Source organism: Homo sapiens, chromosome 5, assembly GCF_000001405.40.
Source record: "Homo sapiens chromosome 5, GRCh38.p14 Primary Assembly".
Lineage (NCBI taxonomy): Eukaryota > Metazoa > Chordata > Mammalia > Primates > Hominidae > Homo > Homo sapiens.
Window position 1 is genome coordinate 114,399,277 of NC_000005.10, and position 19,786 is coordinate 114,419,062.

General features: G+C 37.5%; 1 protein-coding gene across 6 annotated transcripts in view; it reads left to right on the forward strand.

The window, feature by feature from the left end:
- KCNN2 (potassium calcium-activated channel subfamily N member 2) overlaps positions 1-19,786 on the forward strand; it is a 440,519-nt gene that overhangs the window by 343,299 nt on the left and 77,434 nt on the right. For 4 of the 6 annotated variants that reach the window (XM_047417166.1, NM_001372233.1, XM_011543389.2 and 1 more), the window contains one exon: positions 5,162-5,580. The exons of 1 other annotated variant lie outside the window; for it this stretch is intronic. In XM_047417166.1, coding sequence (XP_047273122.1) covers positions 5,162-5,580 — 419 coding nt within the window. Of the gene's footprint in view, positions 1-5,161; positions 5,581-8,785; positions 8,890-19,786 lie in introns of those variants that run through there. One more of the 6 variants, XM_017009457.2, reaches the window with a different exon arrangement.

The window sequence follows — 19,786 nt, forward strand, 5'->3', positions numbered from 1 at the left end:
CTTTTCTGCACGTATTGGTGAGATTGTGTGTGTTCAGGGTAGTATGGCCATAGACCTTTTCTGCATCTATTGAGATGATCATGTGATTTCTGTTTTTACTTCTGTTTATGTGATGAATCATGTTTAATGATTTACATGTGTTGAACCAACCTTGCGTCCCAGAGATAAAGCGTATTTGATTGTGTTAGATTAGCTTTTTGATGTGCTGCTGGATTCTGGTTGCTAGTATTTTGTTGAGATTTTTTGCATCAACGTTCATCAAGGATATTTACCTGAAGTTTTATTTTTTTGTTGTGTCTCTGCCAGGTTTTGGTATCAGGTTGATGCTAGCCTCCTGGAATGTGATAGGGAGAAGTGCCTTCTTCTCAATCTTTTGGAATAGCTTCAGTAGGAATGGTATCAGCTCTTACTTATATTAATATATCTGATAGAATTCGGCTATGAATTCCTCTGGTTCTGTGCTTTTTCTGATTGATAGGCTTTTTATTACTGATTCCATTTTGGAACTTGTTATTGGTCTGTTGAGGTATTTCATTTCTTCTGGGTTCGATCTTGGGAGATTGTATGTTTCCAGGAATTTTTCTATTTCCTCTAAGTTTTCTAGCCTGTGTGCATAGAGATGTACATAGTAGCCTTTGAGGGTTTTTTTTTTTGTTTTTTTTTTTTGTATTTCTATGTGGTTGGTGGTAATGTCCCCTTTGTCATTTCTGATTGTGATTATTTGGATCTTCTCTATTTTCTTTATTAGTCTAGCTAGTGGTCTATCTATTTATTCTTGCAAATAGCCAACTCCTTGATTGTTGATCTTTTATATGGTTTTCTGCTTCTCAATTTCCTTCAGTTCAGCCTGGATTTTGGTTATTTCTTGTCTTCTATTAGCTTTTGGGTTGGTTTGCTCTTGTTTCTGTAGTTTCCCTAGGTTGATGTTAGGTTTTAAATTTGAGATCTTTCTAACTTTTTCACATGGGCATTTAGTGCTATAAACTTTTCTCTTAACACTGCTTTAGCTGTGAGCCAGACAATTTGGTATGCTATAAGATCTTTATGTCCAGTGCACTCATTGTCTCCATTTCCATGACAGTCCCCCAATTTAGGTGACGAGGTACAACAACCAATCAAATGCAGTAGAGCTTCCTAACTTTTATCCTTCCTTCCACAACTGCCCCTCTTCACCCTGTTTTCCCCAGAGCAGTATGGGTGAGCCCTTCAGGCTATAAATCAGATCACATCATTCCTCTGCCTAATACCCTTCAATGGGTTCCCACTTGGCTTAGATTGAAATCCTGTTTGGATACCATGGGTCAACAAAGGCCTGCTTATCTGGTCCCAGTTAGTCTCTTCAAACTTATTTCCAGACTGATCTCCTTTCATGCTGCCCCTTGATCATTAAGTTTCAGCCACTCTGATGTTCCTTCATTTCTTTATGTATGCTAAGCTTTTATGAAGCCCAGGGCCTTTACATGTGCTGTTTCCTGTGCCTAGAATATTATTCCTCTGGTTGTTTACATGACTGGCTTTTCTCTTAATCCAGATCTTGCATCAAATGGTACTTATCCAGAGGTTTTTCCTGATGACCACATCTACTGTCATCTCTAATGCATTATTCTCTATTTCATCTCTTGTTTCTTTCCTTCATAACAATGTCCAAAAGCGTAATTACTTTATTCGATTTCTTTACGTCTGCTTTCTTGACTATGTTTTTTTTTTTCTTTCTTTTTTTTTTTTCCTAGCAAAAGTTAGTTTCAATGGGCAGATTCTCTGTTCATCATAAATGCTGCTGTATGGCTGGTATGTAGACCAATACCTGGCACATAGTATTTAGTACACTGGATAAGTAAATGAATAAACAAGCAACATTGAGGGTCAGGATTATGTGGAGAATACAAGTAAATATTTTTCCTCAATTTCAGCATTAAAATATATGCTATGATAAAAAAAAATTTCAGGTATTAAGACCTTTGATAGTAAAAAAACAACTATGTAATAGAACATTTTAGTGAGGAAGTTACCAAAGAGGAAAGTTATCTGGACTCTATGGAACTGCAAAATTATGCTGCTGCAATGACTTATTATTTAGGTGAATGTGTCTTACATTCACTTGCATTATGCTTCGGTATTCTCAGCTTCCACAAGCACATTTAATTGATATTAGGACCTATCCAGTGATTAGGATAGTCACTGTTAACTGAGAAATAACAAGGAAGTTTATTTATCAAGCATTTCTTATCCTCCACTAGGTAGACACGGAGTCTCACTAACAAGTAGGGGAGACAGTCTTATTAAGAAGTCTTTTATTGTCCTTTATGTGACAGCATCAATAAGAAGCACATATGAGGATCATGGTGGAACAAAGGAGGGAGTTTCCAGATTTTTACAGGGCATCTACTACATGCTAGAGGAGCTGACGTGGAGTTTGGTCTTGAAGGAATACAAATTTGCTAGATGGAGACTTTCCAGGCCATGGGACAGAATGTACGAAGACCCAGAAGCATGATTAGGTTGGTGTGTTCTGGAATCTCCAACTATAGGGAGATGTAAGTAGAATAGTAGGCAATGAAGTTGGAGAGATAGGCAAAACCAGATTGCAGAATGGCTTGTGTGCTATGGGTATAGATTAGATTTTACCCATCAGGCCATGGTGGGCCTTTGAATGGTGTTAATCTTGAATTAAATTTTAAAAAGGTCATTAGACAATGGAAGATAGGAGGAATATGGTAATGGAGAGTGAAGGATCAGACTACCCAGGGAAGTATAGAGTGAGAGAAAAGTCAGAGATGGACTCTGGTAGTGTGTTGGTTAATATTGTGGGGACACATCCAGACCATACCAAGTAGGGACACAGAATGGAGAGAAAGACAGTGAGATCCTTAAGAGTGGCAGCAGATGGAAAAAGCAACATGTCACAGAAGCCAAGGAAAGAGATCCTTCTTAGGGAAGCAGGAATGACAGGACAAATGAGATAAAAATTAAGATGGGAGGATCAGATTTCATAATGAAGGTATCTTTAGTGACCTTAGCAAGGGTAGTCTTGGTAGGTTAATGGGAGCAAGATCTGCCTGGAAGTTGTTTGAGAATGAATAAGTGAGAAAACAAACACAACCTAGAGTAGGCATGGAGCCAGCCCTGGTTCTCTTTGTTTGGGTGTTTTGTTTTTAGTCAACAGTAGAAGTTTGACTTTGTAGACTCTACTGAGAGAAAAGAGGCACAGGAACTAGACTATAGGCTATTGATGCAAGAGAACTGGATTTTGGTGAAACATTGCTTTAGACACATGAAGCAAAAGGGACGGGAAATAAGGAGGAAAGGGTGTGGCTGTAGGTAAGATTGTGGCTAATGTATCAAATAGAGGGTATTTCCTCTGATACTGTGGGGAAAGTGCATGCTGAGAGAAAGGGGAACAATGGCGGCCCTCGAGGAAAACAACCCATGGTGGATGTGGGAATGATCACAAGGTGACTCTGAGGGGTCAGCTGAGCTTGAAGGCACAGGTGGGTGGTGGCCATAGGCCACCTGCAGCAGCCTGGATATCAGGTTCCAGATTGAGAGTTTACCTGGACAGGATCACCTAAAGGTAAAGGATGATGCTGCTGAGAATGGCAGTAGGATTATGGTTGAAGGAGTGAGACTCAATAGAGAGAACCAGCCTAGTTAGGGAAGTGAGCAGAGGAGTAGTGAAAAGGGCCTGAAAAAAAGAGAGTAGAGTGAGGTGCGAGGAGCAAGTGCATTGGGGAGAATGGAAGGAGGGCCAGTCCTAGAAGGAGGAGGCTTATTTGTAAGCAGTATATCGGAGTGATACATTGAGACTTGACATTTCTTTACCAGATAAATACCTTGGAAAGTATTTATCCTGAGTTTGTATTGTTGTCCAAAACATTATGGGGAATAACTTTATTGGAACTCAGCTGGGACTTTGCCACACAGCTTTTGACTATTTGGAGTCTTGGTGATTCTTAGCCCGTTTGGAAGTGGATTTGATTTTTGCACACTGCCGGGTCATTCAGGGTCAAGTTTGGTAAATAAAGTAGACAATCAAGCTGGATAATAACATTTTTGGTAAGAATGGAAATGTGGATTTAAAGAACAGTGCTATTTTATTTATGTGACTTGTAATAGTCCCTGATAGTAATTTCCAAAGGCAGCAATGACAGTATCTTTGGAATATATATAGCTTCTCAAAACAAAGGTCTTCCTAATACGTGGGACTCTCAGCATTGAAGCATGGCTGGCATCCCTGGCTTCTGGGCCCTAAGTGTCAGTATCCCTTGCAAGTCCTTGTGGCAGTCAGAAAAGCCATCACACATTTCCAAATGCTTCTGGTTGTCTCTAGACTGCCAGGGCCTGGAGGACTTGTTTACAGAGAGCCAGGGAAGAGAGGAAGATACTCTTTTCTGTCCCTTTTACTCTTTATCTATATATCTATTTATTTACTTTGCTTTCTCGCTGGTTTTTTCTTCTTAAAAAATTTTGTTTGTTTTCATTGATTGTGGTGTAAGGAATGACAGAAACAGGAGGAAAAAGGGAACTTTATTAAATAAAGATTGAAAGTAAATGAATAATCCAAGGGAAGGCTATGGACGAATAGAAGAAAAGAGACAGAAAATAGAGTAGTCGTGGGGAAACTGGAAGAAATGTTTCTGCCACATTTGTCTGTGGTCTCTTGTGATTTTCTCTGAAGCCAAGAATAAGATTTCCTGTAAGAACGCTCATGTGTTGTTGCATTATAGGGTATAACTGATTGCAGAGGCACCCTAAATAGATTTCACTGAGAATATAGTTAGAATTGTGTAAGGCTTTAAATCCAGACTGAAAGAGGAAAACAACTTGTTATAAGGCGAGTCCATTTCGACTTCATCTGAGGGGGTTTTCATGACTGATAGGCTCAAGCCCCTGTTTTAAAATGATGATGTTTACGTGATTGTCCAGGAACTTTGAACTTCAAAACAGTTTTAGCTCCTGAGTACCAAGTTTTTAATTTAATTTGTACAAAATGAATACCAATACCCTTTACTAAAAATAGTATACCTGGCTAGCATTTAAAAGTTATAACCTTTAGCTTGCCATGATTGCTAAAAGTCATCTGTTGTGTGTTTTTAAAATCTGCACTAACACTTGTGGACCATTCATGCCATACTGAAGCTGATTTTCTACTTTATTTTTTCAGTTGTTCATGGTGGACAATGGAGCAGATGACTGGAGAATAGCCATGACTTATGAGCGTATTTTCTTCATCTGCTTGGAAATACTGGTGTGTGCTATTCATCCCATACCTGGGAATTATACATTCACATGGACGGCCCGGCTTGCCTTCTCCTATGCCCCATCCACAACCACCGCTGATGTGGATATTATTTTATCTATACCAATGTTCTTAAGACTCTATCTGATTGCCAGAGTCATGCTTTTACATAGCAAACTTTTCACTGATGCCTCCTCTAGAAGCATTGGAGCACTTAATAAGATAAACTTCAATACACGTTTTGTTATGAAGACTTTAATGACTATATGCCCAGGAACTGTACTCTTGGTTTTTAGTATCTCATTATGGATAATTGCCGCATGGACTGTCCGAGCTTGTGAAAGGTAAGTTTGTTTCTTTTCCTGAGAACATAATTTACCATGTGGTATCTTCACAAGTAAGAAAAAAAAAATTTTAGACTTGAGACGTGTAGTGTCTCACTCTTAAAAATTTTGGATTTTCTGACAGGCTTCTTTGAAATGACTGTGACAAAGCTTTTCTGAAGATTTTTTCGTAGAGCAAATGCCTTCATGCTTGTGTGTTTTCTTTCTAATTTGATCAGTTTTCAGTAGAGGGCTGCCTTTATAATTTTGTGCCAAAATTTGGAGACCTAGAAATTGTACAGGACACTTTTATTGGAAATGTGAGTTTAATGGTAATATTGAGTCATTTCTGTGCCTGATTGCTTATGAGCGTTGTTTGTTGTTGAGACAGAAATCCTGTCAAACAGTGTTGATGCAAAATGCCTGGGCTTTAGGGAATATCTTAAAGCGGTTTGTTGGTTTTAGTGCCTGTATATAATAGTTTTCAAATGATTACTTGATAAGGAGGTTATGGGTATGCGTATTAGTTTGTACTGAACTTTCAACAATTAGTAAGAACAGGCAATGTGTATTTGTTTTAATGTCTGCAGCGCTCTGGTGGTCTAGACCTAGGCATATATTCTCAGATTTCAGGAGTGGCTCAGTGATCTTAATCAGTTATACGTTAATAATGTTAACTTTGCCATTTAAGAAAAATAGACTTATGACATAAGCAGGAATAGTTGTCTCATAGTGGGCTACAGAGTACCCTCACATGACCTTGGTTAAGAAAATTCAAGTTGAAATTAACAGTAGAGACATAGGAATGATTTAGACATTTCTAGGAGTGTTGAAAGTTCAGATGTTAGTCTTTGTAGTTTTTTTTGTTTTGTTTTGTTTTGTTTTTTTTTTTTGAGACGGAGTCTCGCTCTGTCGCCCAGGCTAGAATGCAGTGGCCCGATCTCGGCTCACTGCAAGCTCTGCCTCCCAGGTTCACACCATTCTCCTGCCTCAGCCTCCCGAGTAGCTGGGACTACAGGTGCCTGCCACCATACCTGGCTAATTTTTTGTATTTTTAGTAGAGACGGGGTTTCACCGTGTTAGCTGGGATGGTCTCAATCTCCTGACCTCGTGATCTGCCTGCCTCAGCCTCCCAAAGTGCTGGGATTACAGGCGTGAGCCACCGCACCAGGCCGAATATTTTTTTTTTAAATTTGGCTTTTGAAAGTCAAGGTTATACACTCAGATAGTTCAAGGAAGAAAAACAGCTATATGAGAGTTGCTGGAAAAAAAAAAAAAAAAAGGGTAGTGAACCCTGACCACCCCCCAGCCCATTCCAGCTTTCCAGAAGCATTCACTTTAAATCTGTTTAGCCATTCTCTTGGTAACTGCTTTTTATAGTTTTGTATTTTAAATACAAAAATAAATTGTATTTTAAATACAATTGCTTATGTTGCTGCATCTAGATTTTTTGTTGTTGTTTTGGAGCTATCTATTAACTTTCTTCTGTGGAAGTCAGTTTTTTTTTTTTCCCCGTATATAAACATACCCCTTTCACAACTTCACTCCTCCCCAAAAAAGTGATTTTTATCTCCCTATCTCCCAGTAAGATATATAAACCCTAAAATCTATATTCTATGTTTACATTGTTATTACTGTATAAACTGCATTTGTAGCTGAACAAGATAATATATCGTAATCATTTTTCCTTTCCTGCACAATTTTTTTTTTTTTCTGGAAGAAATAGTTGCCTCATTTTTTATTTGCTTAGTTTTCTGTATACTTGTCACTAAATCATCTCTAAATTCTCTCACATTATATAAATACCTTTTACTCTTTTCAAATATATTAAGCAATTCATCAACTTCACCTTGAAGAAATGACTCTTGGAACATTCTGACTTGCATCTCTATCATGTTGGGGACTTTCTTTGCCTTTTTTGTATGCTCAGTAGCCCCTTTCTTGAACCCCATTTCACCCTCTTTCTTCGTTCTTTATTTTGGTGGAATCTGTCTTCCAGTAGTTTTGAAGCAAAGGTAGTATATAAGAGAGATATTTTTGAGATCTTGCAGATATGGGAGTCTTTAGTCTTCTCTCATGCTTAACTGGTAATCAGCTGGATATAAAACTCTAGATTGGAAATCACTTTACTTCAGAATATTGAAGTATCCATTTTCTTCTGGTATTCAGGGTCTAGCAGTCTGATGCCATGCTCCTTTTTTATTTATTTTGTTTCTGGAGGCTTCTAGTATTGGTATTCTAAAATTACACAAGGATGTAATTTAATGCATCCTTGTAAAATACAAGGATGTATTTTAATCCATGGTACTGGGAACTTGGTGGACCTGTTCAATCTCGAAATTCATGTCCTTCAATTTTTGGAGATTTTTCTGAATTCTTTAATGATTTTTGTTCCTATTTTCTGTTGTGTAGATAATGGCCCTCCTATATTATTCCCTAATTTTCTTATTCTTTGTTTATAGTTTTCCATTTGTTTTTGCTCTATATATGGAAGATAACCTCAAATTTATCTTTCACACTTTCTATTGGGATTTTACTTCTTCTGTATTGTGTATTAATTTCCAGTGTCTAATTTTTGATCCCTGAATGCCTTTTTTTTAATAGCATCATGCTTTTCTTTCATAGAAACTTTTCTCTGGAGATGTTAATTATGGCTTTTTGAAATTTTTCTCTTTGCATTTTGTTTCCCCAAAGATGCATTTTTCTTTTGTTTTGGCTTCTGTTTTAGGAGCTTTGCATACATACTTCAAATTTGTCAGCTGCAGGCTTTATTAAAGGGTGATTTGAGTGGGGGACATAGAACAGCAATTTCAATACCTTTACATATTTTGTGTCTTCTCTGACCATCTGACCAGTGCATCGGAAGTCTTTTCTGCTCTTCTGCCATGAAAGCAGAAGCCTGAGGTGACAGCGTCTTGGGAATTGAAACACAGGGCAAAGAAGAGGTCTCAACAGTTACTATGCAAGCATTTGCTTGTTCTCCTGGTATCAGTACAGTAGCTTGCTCTCTCCAGTGTCTGATGCCCTGCAGTAGGTCCACAGACCTTGTGTTGTACTGTCTCCAGATAATAGATTTTCAGACTTCTGCCAGGTTGCGAAAGAACAGTTAGTGTTTCTACAAAGCAGAAGAGGACATCTGTGTGTCTAACTGCCTCTATGCCTTTTTTGAACCTGTCCTCCCTTTCGAAACTCTATGGTTATCCCCACATGCAGAAGTACTGGTGCCAACAGTGCCTAAGTCATGGGTGAGGGGTTTGGTTCTCAGTGCATGTGCGGTTGCCTCTTGGTTTTTCACCACTGTTGCCACAGAATTCTGCATTCTCATGTCAGGTAAGTCAGTGGCCACCTGTCGACTGGCTTTCTAGCTTTTTTTTTTTTTTTAACTACTCTTCTGTCATTCATTCTTGTTGTCCTTATGGGTTTACATGCTTTTTTGCTGTCTGCTTGTTTTAGTATTATTTATAATCATTTTAAGGTTGTTAAGGGAAGGAGCTGAGGCCAGCATGTTTGTTGAGCCCACCTGTTTATACCAGAAATTTGGTAGTGACTAGTTTTTAATATCATGTCTCTGAACGTTTTTTTAGAACTTCTCTGCGTAAATATGCCATTTGAGGGATTAACGTTTTCTTTTTAAGGAAAGGTAGACTCCTTATGGTAATGCTTTGTTTCCTAGCAATCATGGTATTTACAGGCTTATGATATTTTCTGGAGCAGATGTACCTTATGATGGTTGAAGAATAAATATGGAAAACTCTAGTTGACATACCTATTTACTGTATAAAGATAAGCCCTAATTAAAAATTATGCATAACAATGTAACAATGAGGGAAATAGCCAGGTCTGACAATATATACATCTCCATGGGTGGTCTCTAGTGCATCTGCTTCCAAAGGCCAATTAAGAGAGCCTCAAAATTGTGTACATGCCATATATTTTCTTTTCAAAAATAGTTCATCTTAGCTGTTTTAACCCATTATCACTAAATACAGAATGCCAAGGCAAGCTGTGCCACATTCGCTTAGCAGCCCCAAGTCTGTGTGTTTTTTAACATGCTCAGATTGTGAGGTGATGACCATTGCTGTTTTCATGTAAAGAGGCAATAAAAGGTGAAAACTGTTCATTTCATAGCAAGAATGAGAGTGTGTAGCCAGCAGGTACATAAAGGAAACAAATCTGTGACAGTGTGGTGGGGAAGGGACAGAGGCCAAAACTCTGGATTGGGACACTGGGATTTAGTCTCAGTTGTGTAATTTAGGGGCTGAGTGACCTCAGGCCAAACATCTCATGTCTTTTTGCCTTAGTTTATTCATTTGCCAACTAAATGGCTTGTTAAGACTTCTTCCCAACGTAACGTTTTATCATTACACAAATGTGTAAAAGAAAAAAAAATTATTAACCAGCATTGTGTTAATAGAAGATTTTCCACATTTGGTTTTTATTAAACTTCCCATTTTGCTGCACAAATTCTCCAGATTGTGGTTTGTAAGATACAAAGATAAAAAAAAATTGTTTTTCCGTAAATTTGCAATTTGGAACATGATGTCACCAGTATCTTACGCTTCCTTGATAATTATTTTCTGACCCTTTTTTTTCCCCTCTTATATGAAGTTTACAATACTAAATATAACACACAGCTTTTCTATTTATTTGGTTTAGGATTTGGATTTGAATGAATCCTACCAGTTCCATCTTTGGTCCATCCAAGCATCCTCTCCATGTAAAAAGGGGAGATTCACATCTGATAGAAATTTTTATTTTTAGTTAATTAGATATCTAAAAAGAGACTTAGATTTTTGGACTTTTTTAAAAGGAAAGAGCTAGAGAAAAAGAGAAACAGCTTTCTAGAGAAGTTTGCATTAAAAACCTATTCCTGTCCTTCTAGGAGCACAAGATTCAGGATTTCTATAAGTTTCTAGAAATTGTTCTGTATTAATGGGGAGAGCATCCTATGGGAGGCATTTATTCCTTGTGGTATTATTTTCCCTGGCATATCATGTGCCTCTGAAATTTTTTACCTGTAGGTAATAAAAATTCTCTCTCTCTCTCTCTCTCTTTTTGGTGAATGATAGGAGGAAGCAGAGAAGGAAGAATCTAGCATTATTTCTGTGGCCTACATTTGTTAATAAGCAGCTTCCCCAGACCAGACCACAGTAATCTACTCTTTCTCTGGTTATGGTTTGGCTTTGTGTTAAGGTAGGCATCAGTTCTAGGAAGAACACTGTCCTCTTAAGCAGCTGAGAAGTGTGGCCTAGTGCTGCTAAGCGATCTCATGTTCATGGGGTCCCAGGCCAAGGCATTTAATCACAATGTATTAGGAGAAATTTCAGGAACATTTATGTTTTAGAAGAAACCTGAAACTCAGAGCTTGGGGTCCTGAAGATTGGGAATTATCCAATCCTGACTTGTACCTTTTGAGACTTCTCTAGTTTTGTAAAGATAGCGTACGTAGGCAGCTATTCACCCCAAAGTGTGTTTTACTGGGCACCGTTTCTGAGCAAGAATAGTAGCTATTTTGCAACAGGTAGAACTGGATATTGTGGGTCAGTGCTGTGTTACACAAAGAAAGGAGTTTTGTTTCTTTTTCACTGTAAGAGTTCTCAGAGCATTTAGTATATGTATATGCATTAGAAATCCTCAAGAGGGAAAAAGAGTATTTATTTGGCCATGCTTTCTGGGAAACATACTTGACATATGACAATACTGAAGTTTTGGAGATAGAAAGAAATTGAACTTTTCTGCACAGTTTGGATTCAAAATAATGTTTCTGTGTTCAATGAAATCTTTTCCTTTTTGACATAGGTTTGTAATGCTGTGTTAGGGGGCAAATTGGGGATGGAAAGGAAAAGAGAGAGCAAAGGTGAGTTAGGTATTTAGGTGGTAGTGTTCCCAAGCAGAAAAGCAAACATTGTGATAATATATAATAAATTGGAGATTCCAGGTAATGTTTGGAATGGAAAAGGGTCATTTGGTTAAAAAAGTGGCCAACTATTGTCCTTTCTTTTCCCATTATTTTATCTCTCAGGGCACTTAAATATGTATTAACTAGGTATCATTTGTTAAGGAACATTTTCTAAAAATGACTTAACAATAATTTGCTCTTTTTGAAAGCAGACAAACTGGAGAAGCATAATGCAACTTTTGAATACCTTTGGATAATCTAAACTGCATTTTAGATGAATAAAGAATAAATTCTTGTGATCACTGAAAACTGATAGATGAAAATAAATTAGGTATTTATTCTCAAATTAGCATAGAGAACCTGAGGAATAGAGACTTCAATTTCAGTTGTGTTTAGAGTCTACTATTCAGTGTCTTAAAAGTATATTTTGTTCTTTCATTAGAATAATCCAGGTAGATTTCACTCTATTTTTTGTCACCCTGTCACTAATACTCTTCTATGTTGTATTATTTTGTTTTCGTTTTTAATTTCCTGGAAGATGATTTCTGAAATGCAGTTGAAACATAATTTATTATTATATAGTCTGTTAGAGAAGCACAACCAAGAGGATATAGATATAAATATATGAGAGGAGATTTATTAGAGGAATTGGCTCACAGGATTATGGAGACTGAGAAGTCCCAAGGAGAGGCCATCTGCAAGCTGGAGACAGGGTATGCTGGTATATGTGGCTCAGTCCAAGTCTAAAAGCCTCAGATCCAAGGAAGCCAGTGGTGCAACTCTCAGTCCAAAGCTGAAGGCCTGTGAATCCAAAGAGATGCAGGTGCAAGTCCTAGAGTCCAAAGGCTGGAATGCCTGAAGTTCTGAGGCACAGGACAGGAGTCTGAAGTCTAAGGACAGGAGAGGAAGAATGTCCCAGCTCCAGGAGAGAGAGAGAGGGGGCGGGAGAGAGAGGAACTCACCTTTTCTCTACCTTTTTTGTCCTGTCCTAGCCCCCAGCCAGGATGGTGCTCACCCACGTTGAGGGTGGATCTTCCTCACTCAGTTCGCTGACTCACACACCAGTCTCCTTTGGAAACACCCTCACAGACACTCAGAAATAATGCTTTACCAGTTCTCTAGGTATTCCTTAATCTAGTTAAGTTGACACCTAAAATTAACCATCACATATGGTATATTGTGGAATATTACAGTCAAATCATGCCCCATAATAAAACTATATACAACATAAGTTTTATATAAAATAGCTGCTTTTAGCACAAGGATCAGTTATGTCTTCTGACATCAGTAGTATGAAGGAGTTGCTAAGGGAAAGCTCCTGTAGGATGAGAGAATATCTCATTTTGTAACTAGACAGATTTCTAGTCTCTTAGCACTAATTTATAGAGGATATGAGATTTGGGGTCCCACTTTCTCTGTATCCCTATAGAGAATATGTAATTTGGGGTCCCACTTGCATATGGAATATGGGCATTGAATATAATCTTGTACATACTGATTTAAAATGAATACCCTTGTTCCTGAGCACCAATAAAACAAAAAATAGGATGGTAGTTGTTTACATCTAGTAAATTAATTTAGCATTGCAGTGGATGTCTTTTAATAACTTAATCTGTTCCTCTAACACCACATGTATTCATTACTTCTCTTTGTAGAACATGCTTTTAAATGAACTTTAAGATTCAATATGTGATCAACTCTGTATCTTAAATGATCTGGGTTCTAATTTTCAAGTTTTCCATTTCAAAACAGTTTCAGTGTTTTTTATCTGTTTATATAACATAAGCCAGTTGTCATGGAGGAAGGGATGAATGGCATCTGAAAGTTTCACTTGTTCTATTTGTGTTTTTTTATTATTTACATAAGATGAATGTGAAATAGGGAGCCACATATTAGAGTGCTAGCTCATTTTCCTGGTCTGCCAGCCATGATTTTATTTTGTATTTTCAGGAGAGTCACCCAGAGGCCTAGCCTACTCCTTTCCCAGCACTAGCCATTAGAGGTGCCTATTTCCTGATGATTTACTTAAATTTGAAACATGTTACTTGGGATCAAGTTTCTTTAATAGTTGTAAAAGTAGTCATAAAATATGCATTGCAGTGCTGGGAAAACATATCCACCTTGATTTATTACAGAATACTGGATAGTTATTGGATAATGAGATTATTTCCTACCACTTGAAGATTCAGCTGTTGCCAAGTAAACTCTAAGTATTTCATCAATGGATTTGTAATTTGTGGTTGATGGCAATGTAATACTTTGTAAACTTGTACTTCCAAGTTGGTCTGATTCATACATACAGATATAGCATTTTCAGGCTCATAAATGAGTCACAACTTTAAAATGGGCCCTTTCAAGTTATAAAAGTCGGCAGTTTGAAAGCATTCATCCTGCATCTGTGACTTGCAAAACATCAATGCTAAGTATAATGTTTGCCAAATAAATTGGTCATTAAAGTCTTTTATGGAAAGAAAAACCAGTACTCCCTCAAATTCAATTTTCTCTTCTTTCTTATGTAGATATGCTTCTTGTTTTGTTTTGTTTTGTTTTTTGTAGTTTTATTTTTTGAGTTGGAGTCTTGCTCTTGTCACTCAGGCTGGAGTGCAGTGGCACAATCTTGGCTCACTGCAACCTCTGCCTCCTGCGTTCAAGCGATTCTCCTGCCTCAGCCTCCCAAGTAGCTGGGACTACAGGTGCCCGCCACCATGCCTGGCTAATTTTTTATGTATTTTTAGTAGAAATGGGGTTTCACCATGTTGGCCAGGCTGGTCTTGAATTCTTGACCTCAGGTGATTTGCCCACTAGGCCTCTCAAAGTGCTGGGATTACAGGCGTGAGCCACCACACCTGGCCTTGTTTTTATTTTTTAACTCTTTTTGGTCTACCTCCTGAGAGAATAATGAGGAATAGTATTTGTTGGCAAGGGGCTTTGAGATCCTGGTTTAAAGAATGCAGATTGAAAATACCAGCACTGTTAAATTCACGTAGAAAAAACATGAAAAGCTCAGCAGCTCAGGAATCCAACCTCAATGATCTCATAGCCAGTTCATTATGGTCCTCCTCATCCTGTCATCCATGCTGATGTACAGATTTCATGGAATAGAGGTCCTAAGTGTTTTCTGACTTTGAAAATCCCTGTAATTATCCATATATACATCAGCAGCATGCATGTGTGCACTCCTGGGTAGCATTCTCATGTAATTCAGCTTCAGAACCACTGTGCCAGATAAAAAGAAGGAACATAAAGTCTAAATGTAAACATGCTGACATTCAAGCCATTTTGTCTTTAAGGAAATTAATACATTTCTTAGACATAAATAGGGCTTGGTTGGAGAAAATGCAAGTGCTTCCTACTTCCTGCTGGATTTTCTGCATTGTATTTTTTTTAATTTTATACTCTTTATTTTAAAATGTTTCCTTAATGTAAGATTGTATTAATACAATCATAGAAATGCAAGACAAAAGTGCCTTTACATGCCATAAAAAAAGACATTTTATATCTTGCTGAGCTTCGATGGATCTGCCTTCTATTATAATGTTAAGCTTTTATAACCTTAGTCCATGTTAATGGACTTGCTTACTATTATGAGAATTAAATGGGGAATGAGGTAGATTTTAGTATTGTATCCCCAAGCTGGTGTCAGGTAATAAAGCACCTACTGTCTTTCAAGGGAGCCTCTTGGCTTGAGTCTCTTAGGAGGGACTATGTGAACTGTTTCTCCGCTGCTTGCTGACTGGTAGAGCAATGTCTAGTCTATGGATGGTTCCTGAGGCTCTGCGGAGAGGGGCATCAGTCTGTCCCACCCTGATAGTTCCAATGCTGTTTTGTCTCTCATTCAAAATCCCATGAGTCAATAAATAGTCTGATCACTGTCAAATAATTAAGGATACTAAAAAAGGCCCAGGCATCAGATATTTAAACCATAGTGTGGTGGTAAAGTCAAAGCCATTTTGGGTTTGTGGCCATTATTCAGTGACTGTTTGGTGAATAAATATTAGAATTTAAAAACTTTGTGTAGAATTTTACCATGATTTTTGGTTACAGTGTAAAAAGACAAAAGGATCTTTGTCATTTTTTAAAACAACTTTATTGAGGTATAATTTACGCACCGTAAACTCCATCTATTTAAAGTGTACAAGCCAAGAATTTTAGGGGCTATGCAACCATCACTACAATCCAGTTTTAGAACAGTTCCATCACCCTCCAAAACTTTCATCATCTCCGTGCCCATTTGCAATAAATCCCTGCTCCCTCTTGCAGTCTTCCAGGTGACCACTAATATACTATCTGTCTCCATAGATTTGCCTTTCTGAGGCTGTCATATAAATTGAATCAAATAATATATAGTCTTTTACATCCAGTCTTTTTTACTTAAAGATTTTGATGTTTGCCTATGTTGTAGTATGTATTGAAGTTTGTTCCTTTTTATTGATGAATACTATTCTGTTGTAAGAATATGCCACAATTTGGTCACTCATTCACCAGTTGATCTACATTTAGTTTGTTTTCTGTTTTTGGCTACTAAGAATAGGGTTGCTTTGAACTTGTGCACACAATTCTCTGGATGAACTTGTTTTTCTCCTCTTAGGTAGCCATCTAAGAGTATATAATTTTACAAACCCACCAGCAATCGGCAATGTATGAAGGTTCCAGTTTTATCACATCCTTGACAACATTGTCAGTTGTGTGCGTGTGTGTGTGTATTATATATATTGTCATATCTGGATATGGGTATATAGCATTGCCAGTATGTCTGAATATACACATATGTGTATGTCTTAATGTGTGTATATAAACATACAGAAATATATGGTCTTAATATACGTTTATTTATAGTCTTATAACCATTCTAGTGAGTATAAAGTGGTATCTTATTGTGGTTGTAATTTGCAATCCTCTAATGACTAATAATGGTGAATATCTTTTAAGTGATCATTAGTTCTTTGTGTATCTTCTTTGGCAAAATGGCAATTCAAATTGCCCATTTTTAAACTGGGGCATTTGTCTTATTAAATTTTAAGAGTTCTTTGTATATTCTGGTTACTAGTATGTTATCAAATATATGATTTGCAAATATTTTCCATGGCTTGTGTTGTAATTTTCATTTTCATTGTTTTTGAATGTGCTGAGGCTGTGTACCCTTGGCTTTCTCTAAGTCAGTCTTGCCTTGCCTCCCAAAGCCATGCAGGAAAAAAGCCAGCTACACACACACAGCTGACTGTGAGCTCTTTGAAGAGGCTTAACTCCCTTGTTCAGTTCTGTGCTTCACATGCCTCTTCTTGCTGCCCTTTTCCTACCCTGAAGTCTTTCTTTTCTAGTAACCACTATTTTCTAGTAACAGCAAAGAGAGGAAAGAGCAAAAAAAGACTGTTTTTCAATCCTGCTTAAAAAGTCTTTCCAGTTCTTGCGTTGCTTTGATGGTTGTAGTAGCTGCGAAAAATGAAGCCCAGAGAATATCCGTCATTTTTTCACTTAGGATTAAGTGTTCCTGACTTGCCTCCAATGGGAATTTTAAGATTCTTTTTGTTTTCTCTCCTAGTTGAGGTAGTAATTTGTTTTGATTGATCCACAGCTTTCTTCATGACCAAAAGCAAACATTTGCAATGTGTCTGACCCCGTTTTAGGGATGTAGCTAGACATTGTGAAAAACCAAGCTCCTCCGTCCCTTTTAGGTGACCTTGCTGGTTTTTATGACCGTCCACAGTCATGACTTTGGAAGGATGATGCTCTAGCCATGGGCTGCTTGACCAAATGATCACTGTGTGACTGTTCTTTATACTGTGCTTTGTATCACAGTGACAGGATATTATAGTACAGGTCATAGGGATGTGGCAATTGATTTTGACATACGATATTCTCAGTGCCACAGGAGCAAAAGATGTTTGAGTGACTACTGTCTAATATCTTTGCTTTCATGTCTCTGCTCATGATTTAGTCTTCTAAAAGCTTTCTGTGTCATATAAAATATACTGTTTCAGTTTATTAAATTGTATTTAATATTCTAACAGAAGATATAATTTAAAAATAAGATTTTACGGACTTTTGTATTTAATGTTGTGGTTTTAGAACTTCATATAAAACCTCATGTAGGAATCATGGTTTGTAAATATGAAAGCCACAAAGTAAGGCACATATTATTCAGAACCAATTTATTAGCAGAAAATATCTTTTATATCAGTGATCATGGGGAAAATTAAATTTAGTGACTTTCTTGCGTTAAAGAAATGGTTGTGATTGAGCATATTAGTAATTATAAACTCCTGTTTTTGAACAAAACTGGGTTATACTAGGCATATGTGGAGAATCATCCTAAATGCCCATTTGGTATTATTTGGAATAATACCTTTTATGCCAGAGGGCATCTTACGAAATGAAACATCCAGTAGACAAAAATCAGTAATTTTAATCTGGTTTAAATATTAATCTGTTTTTGTCCCAGAGGACATAATGTTATCAAATGAAATACCCAATATAAAAAGATCAGCTTTAGTCATTAGTTTTTATCTAATTTAATGGTGACCAGCCCTTAGAATTTCTGGCTTACTACATGTCTGGAAGGGAATGAGTATTCTTATATTTATTGTTGTTATGATAATCTGCCTACTGTGCTTTCTACTATTTAGTAAGGTGTTTTTATTGTTTTATTTTGTTTTGCTTTTAAGATGGGTTCTGAGAAGTTTGGAGGTGTCGGTGTGAAGTGAGAAGCCACTCTGCTAGGTTTTTTATCCCTGTTTAAAGATTCCATTTTTGAAATATCACACTGATACCTTTTGTTCCTCCTCTTAACCATCATTCACCGACTATATCATCTAGATCTCTGTTCTTTCAGCCCTACCAAGGTCACTGGCATTTATTGTGACGTAGGTGCCTGATAGATAGTTGGGTGGTAAAAGGGATGAAGGTGCCACATTAGGCAGGTTTGATGTGGTCAGGAAAAGAACCAGGGGGACTGTTGTAGTCAGTAATCAGTGGTGTAGTTGCCTAAAACTTTTGTCTGGCTCTGATTAGGTTAGGAGATGAGTTCCCTCTGCAGGTTAAAGGTGTTCATTAAGTGCTTATGGTATTCTATACCATGTAAAAATGGGGGTACAAAAGCCTTATCTGAATCAAGCTCCTCAATGGTAAAAGGTGTATTTGATACCATCTGAATAGCCACAGAGCCCAGAGCCCTTTAATATCTGGGTCAGATAAAACCTTACAAGTCATCTAATCCTATCAGGCCAAGAGGAACACCAACTGCTGTCATTACATGAGGACTTGTGGGGTAAATGTTTCTGCACAGATGTGTACCTATCAGTTATAACAATAGAAGAATGATAATTAACACTTAATGAGTGACTTAAAGTGTTGAAATTTAACCCTACAAAGGGTCGTTATGAAGAAGATTACTAATGGGAATATTATACATTAAGTGTGAAAAAAATTCTTACACCTTTATTTTATCTGGTTCATTTGCAAGTAATTAGGGTTTTACCATTTAGTAAGTTAACAAAGGTTAATAAGGAAATCTGCATTAATTTAAAATTTCTGTGATTCAGGAGCAAAAATAGCACTTACTGAATATCTGAAAGACTGCAGACAAATTGGTCTTGGAAAACTGAAGCCTTCCTTATGTGCTGGACTGACAGGAGGAGGGCTTCACAGAAACGTGACAGGCATGGTTCAGCACTGCTTGAAACCCTTCTGTGTGTTCAGCCTGGAAGTATTTCCATTTACTCTGCTGGAGCACACAGACTTCAGACAGAGTTTTCTTCGTCTTTTATCTTGGATGTTGCCTTACGGGCTCTCAGCAACTGTGCAGCTGCCATCATTGTCTGGGATTTGCAATGGGGCAAGTGGGGCTGGCGGGGAGTTGGGGGGCAGTGGCAAGCAAGGGAACCCCATTCTGAGGCAGCAGTAGTGACAGAGCTCCAAAGTTTTTGTGACTATTTTGAGTAACCCTAAAGCAGCATTTCAACTTTCCTTTCATGAAACTGTCCATGTGCTAAGATCACTGCCACTCAACTTAGGTCCTGCTGTGCATTTAATTTCTTGGGTATTTCCTGAAAGCCCCACTAATAGGAACAGCGATCTAGAATTGCTCCTTTTGGAAATGCACTCTGCAGATGCTGCTCACTAAGGTCTGCAGAACTTCTGCTAATTCCCACCAACTGCCTCTGGGGAAAAAAAGGATCATGAGTTTTAAACCCCCACGTTTCACTTCCTCATACAAGCATATCTTCAAGTAATCACATAACTGAATGTGCCTGAGTAGACTAAATTTGAAAGAGAACGTAATAATTTTTTTCGTAGCTCTTTATCCAGTTTTAGTTTGTATTAGAGATTTTA